Raw genomic sequence first — 5890 nt, forward strand, 5'->3', positions numbered from 1 at the left:
AACCACAGTGAGATATCATCTCACATCGGTCAGAATTGCTCTTACTAAAAAGTCAAAACATAACAAATGCTGGAGAGGTTGTGGAGAAAAGGAATCACTTGTACCCTGCTGGTGGGAATATAAATTAGTTCAGCCATGGTGGAAAGCAGTCTGACAATTTCTCAAAGAACTTAAAACAGAACTATCATTCCACCCAGCAATCCCACAATTGAATATATACCCAAAGGAATATAAATAATTCTCCCATAAAGACACACACATGAGTATGCTCATCAAAACACTATTCACAATAGCAAAGACAGAGAGTCAATCTAAATGCCCATCAATGGAAGACTGGTAAAGAAAATGTGGTGCATATACACTATGGAATACTATGCAGCCATAAAAAATAACAAGATCATTTCCTTTGCAGCAACATGGACGGAGCTGGAGGCCATTAGGCAAACTAATACGGGAACAGAAAACTACCGTATGGTCTCACTTATAAATGGGAACTAAATATTGAGTACACATGAACACAAAGAAGGAAACAACAGACACCAGGACCTACTTGAGGGTAGAAGGCGAGGAGGAGGGTCAGGATTTAAAAACTACCTATTGGGTACTGTGTTTAATACCTGGGTGACAAAATAATCTGTGCGCCAAACCCCCCATGACGCATAATTTACCTGCATAACAAACCTGCACATGTACCCCTGAACCTAAAAAAGTTGAAAAAAAAGAAGGGTGCCAAGACTACACAATAGGGGAAGGGATCATTTCTTCAACAAATGGTATTGGGTGTTGGGAAAACTGGACATCCACATTCAAGGAAAAAAATCTGGACACTTATTCCACACCATATACAAAAATTAACTCAAAATGGGTTAAAGACCTAAACATAAGACAAACATAAAACCTGAAGCTATAACATTCTTAGAAAAAACACAGGGGAAATGCTTCATGACATTGGGTTTGAAAAAAGGTTTTTGGATGTTATATCAAAAGCACAGGCAATGAAAGCAAAAATAAACATATGGGATGACATCAAACTTAAAAGCTTCTTTGCAGGAAAAAAAACAATCAAGACTGAAAAGGCAAACTACATATGGGAGAAAATATTTGCAAACCAGTTATCTGATAAGGGGTTAATATTCAGAATATGTAAAGAACTCCTACAACTCAACAACAACAAAAAAAACAGCCTGATTTAGAAATGGGTGAAAAATTTGAATAGATGTTTCTCCATAGAAGATAAACAAATGGCCAACAAGCACATGAAGAGTTGATTAGTATCACTAATCATTAGAGAAATGCAAATCAAAACCACAATGAGATATGACTTCACATGTATTAGAATGGTCTCTATCAAAAAAAACAACAACAGAAAATAGCAAGTGTTGGTGAGACTGTGGAAAAAATTGGAAACTTTGGGCATTGTAGGTGGGATTGTAAAATGGTGCAGCCTCTATGGAAAACAGTATGAAAATTTGTCAAAAAATTTAAAATAGAACTACCATATGATCCAGCAATCCCACTTCTGGGTATGTGTCTTTCTTATTTCATTTTCTACTGCTAAAACCGAATACCTGAAACTAGGTAGTTTATAAAGAAAATAATTGTCCTTCTTACAATTCTGAATGATGAAAGTCCAAGAGCATGGTGTTGGTGTCTGACAAGGGTCTTCTTGCTACATTGTCCCATGGCAAAAGGTGAAAGGGTAAGCAAGTACGGAAAGAGGATGAGGGGTGAGCTGCATCTTTTTATCAGGAACCCACTCCCACAATAACAGCATTAATCCATTTTAAGGGTGGAACTCTCATGACCTAATCACCTCTTAAAGGTTCCACTTTTTAATACTGTTACAATGGCAATTAAATTTCAACGTGTTAGGACATGCAGACCATAGTGGTATCCAAAAGGATTAAAAACTGGATTTTGAAGAGATTTTTGCACACCAATGTTTATAGCAGCATCATTCACGATAGCCAAGAAGTGGAAGCAACCTAAAATGTGCCTCAATGGATAAATAGATAAAGAGAATGTGGCATATACAATGGAATACTACCCAGTGTTAAAAAAAAAAGAAGGAAATCTTGTCAGATGTTATGATAAACCTTGAGGGCATTATGTCCAGTGAAATGAGCCAGTCACGAAAGGACAAGTACAGCACTCTTTCATTTATGTGAGGAGTCTAAAGTAGTCAGACTCATAGGAATGGAAAATAGAAGGGTGGTTGCCAGGGGCTTGGGGAGGGAGAGTTGCTTAATGGGTCTAAGGTAGAATTGTGGACTCTGGGGCTCTGTTGCAAACAATGTGCATGTGGTTGACAGTATTCTACTGTTCACTTGGAAATTGTTAGAAGGGTAAATTTTGTGTTATGTGTTTTTATGGCACAATGAAAAATGAAAAATAAATTTCATCTTCTGAGTGTTTGCTCTATTATCCATCCTGCAGAACTCAACCAAGAGTATCTGTAGTTTTTATTTTCCATTTTTTATATCCCTTTTATTCACACTTTTATTCCTCACTTAGTTTTCAAACCCTTTTTCATGATGAGAAGAATACCAGGTCCTGGGGGAATGGAAAGCTGTATGAGATACTGATCCAGATGTCAGGAGCTCACCGTTCTATGACAGGGACAGTCAGGTAAACAACAAGGCACCTCCCAGCCCAGCTGGGGTGGGTGGGGCTGGGAGTCTTGCCAAAGAGCCAGGAGTTGCCACACAGTAGAACTCTCCATAAGCAATTGTTGATAAATAGAGAATGGAAGGTTGGGTGAAGTATCACCATCTTTTTTTTTTTTTTCCTTTTCACAAACAGAAACAAAACAAAATCCCACTGGCTATGATTATGACTGTAATTATTGTAATAATTATTTTGCTTTCTACCATGGCATAGTTCAACCACAATAGTAAATGGGCTTCTATGAAGAAAAAGAGATGAAGAGGGAATTTTTCACTCTCTCATTATTAAGTTTCCTTCTCGAAGGGAGATGCCAGTGGAAAATGATGACAGAAAATACGGTGATGAATAATTCACTCTGCCTAATTTCATATAATTTTGTTTTCTTTATGAGTTAGTAATTAGAATATGCAGGTTATTTAAGGGACAGAAAATGGCTCTTTAAACTCAGGTAAAAAGAAGTTGTATACTATTATTGGTTTAAAAAATTACAAACAAAAACCAAAAAATGCCTTCAGGAGCTATCTTGTCTTCCTTGGGTCTCTGTAAGCATCTCAGGGCTGCAGCTTTCACAGGGAAAGAGGCTTTTGGGTCGAAACCCTGTGGATGCCAGCACGGTGGTCTCTGTGCAAGCCAAAATGTCCATGCTTCTGTGAAGTTCAGGCACTTGGCAAGATTTTAAATAAATGCTAGCTTGAATGCTCAAGATATTTGACTGACCTAAGGGGTGGTGGACACCATGACTTGGATATAGCTGCATAAAGCATAATTACCAAGCCTGGCTGTCTGTATGCCAAGGATGCCAGGTAAAACCCTGGCCACCCACAATTAGGCTCTGCCTTTTTGTTGGGAGGACCACTGTGAGTAGTGTCTGGACAGAAAAGGGGGCCAAGGAGACCTCACAAATCAGTACCTGTTGCAGGTTCCTCATCTATAAAATAGGAACACAAAGAGCACCTATCTCATCGGGTTGCAGAGAGGACTGGGTGAGATGATGAAAGTCAAGTGCATGGTTTTCTGTGTGGCACATAGAAAGTGCCAACTATGATATTCTTATGATTAGTGGTGGAGGTCCTATGAATATTGCATTATTGGGAGACACAGTAAGATGAAAATATCACATGCCATTGTGCTAGTCATTCTCTGCATGTCCCCACCTCAAATCTTCCCCCCAGCCTGCTCTGAGCCCACATCATCTATGGGCCACATCATCTGGCTCCCTTGTCTTGCAACATCCTGGGGGTTCAGACAATGGGAGACTCTGGTAGGGACAGAGGGAGGTCTGGTCCCAGGGCAGGAGGAAAGAGAGGTGGGGCATCTATCTCCCTCCTCACTTGCTTCCTGTCTTACCTCTGTTTGGCTGTTTCTACTGTTGTAGGTCCTGTCACACAACCCCTTTGTGTCCAAAGCTGTCTCCAGGCCCTGGGAACAGCTTCCGTTCTCTTGCCCCTTTGGGCCTAGAAGGATACAGGTCAGAGGAGCGGGATCTGCCCATGGGTCCTATTGACCCTGCACACACCTCTGTAAATAGCCTCTTCATTAGCCTCCCTTCAGGTAAACCCTTTGAGTTTTCACTTGTAGCCTGCCGGGATACTGAGTAATCAGTTAAACATTTTTGTAAGTTTCTAATATGAGCAAAGAAGCATGCAAAGTATATATAATTTCATTTTAAAACAAGCTTATGAGAAAGGGCTTATTAATGTCATTTTGGAGACAAGGAAAGAGTGATTCTGAGAGGTTTAAAGTAATCAGCCCAAGACCTCATGGAGAGTAAGAAACAGAGCCAGGGCTGAAAGCCAGGCCTGCCTGCCTCCAACTCCAGTCTCTGAGTGGAGTCTGTTGTAGCCTCTGATATAGAGGGGAAATTGACAGGGTAGAGGAGTGGGAGCCCCACGCAAAGTCTCAAAGCCTCTGATGTGTAGGTGTGGGAAGAAGCTGTATATTGCAGAGCAATAATGCTGCCGTGGAATTTGTGAGTAGTGGTTACAGATAGTCACTGAAGTGAGAAAAGAAACAGAAAGAAAAAAAAGTGGGGGACAAGAGAGAGAGAGAACAGGTGTGTGTGTGTAAGCGACCACATTTATTTTTAACTTGTGGGCTCGTGACACTTGGCCTGCAGCACAATCTCTGTTGCATGTCCTGAGACTCCAGCTAGGCTCTTTGGACAATGCCACAAACATCTGGCTGCTGAAAACCTGGCCCTTTTGGAGATCTTGAGACCCCTGCCAGATTATTTGAAAGAAACCATAGCTCTGATAAAAATTCCTGTGGCAGATACTCTTTTGACATTTTCCCAATCTTACTCAAAACCTGCTCAGACTCCACAGAAAGGCTCATGATCTCCAGGTGGCTCTTGGTAATTAAAAAGGTATGACAGATTACCCAGGGCCTGTCTGCAAATAACGCTGTACCTGGGGGCCAAGTCCAATTGCGCTTCAAGGAGCTTTTGCTTATCAGATTAGAGGCAAATGTACTTCTGAGAAGGGGAAGTTAAATAGTTCGGAACATTGAAAATGATAATGCTCTTGACCCAAAATCATCCTCTCACTTCCGTAGCTTTAAGAAGACTGCCATAAACCCATAATCAGGCTTTCCATGTAAAAGAAAGAACCGCCTCCGACTGTCACTTAACTGTCATCTAAAACTTGTATTCCCAAGGCCACCTTCACTGTCTATTTTTAACGTGTGGCCATTATCTATATAGAAGAAGCAGATGATGGTTCAGATGGATCAGCTACAGCCTGTTCATCCATCCATCCATCCATCCATCCATCCATCCATCCATCCATCCATCCATCTGTCCATCCATCCACCAATCCTCTGTAACCACTCCTCATTCAAAAAGTTTATCCATCTATTTGTCCATTCATCCACCTATTCATCTATAAATCAACTCATAAACTTATTAATGCATAATACACTCATTGACAGAAAAAGCCATTCATCATCTATCAATTTGCCTACTCATCTATCAACTCATTCACTTATAAATGCATACATACACTCGCTGATTGAAAAATTCATCCATCCATCCATCCATCCATCCTTGCACTCATCTATGAATCAACTTGTTTACTTCCAAGAACATACTTATAATCATTGATTTAAAAATCAACCATTGAATCCATTAATCCATCCATCTATCCACTCATTTATCTATCCATTCATCCACCTACTTATCCATCAATCAGCTAATTTACTTATAAATATACATACACACTCAATG

The 5890-nt window shown here is 40.2% G+C and overlaps 1 annotated feature.

Moving 5' to 3' along the window:
* Positions 4502-4771: an enhancer, noted in NCBI's record as "active region_23674". NCBI's record gives its function as "activates an Ori minimal core promoter by ATAC-STARR-seq in GM12878 lymphoblastoid cells {active_cell/tissue: GM12878}" and the evidence as "EXISTENCE:reporter gene assay evidence [ECO:0000049][PMID:35858748]".

This window comes from Homo sapiens, chromosome 5 (genome assembly GCF_000001405.40).
Source record: "Homo sapiens chromosome 5, GRCh38.p14 Primary Assembly".
NCBI lineage: Eukaryota > Metazoa > Chordata > Mammalia > Primates > Hominidae > Homo > Homo sapiens.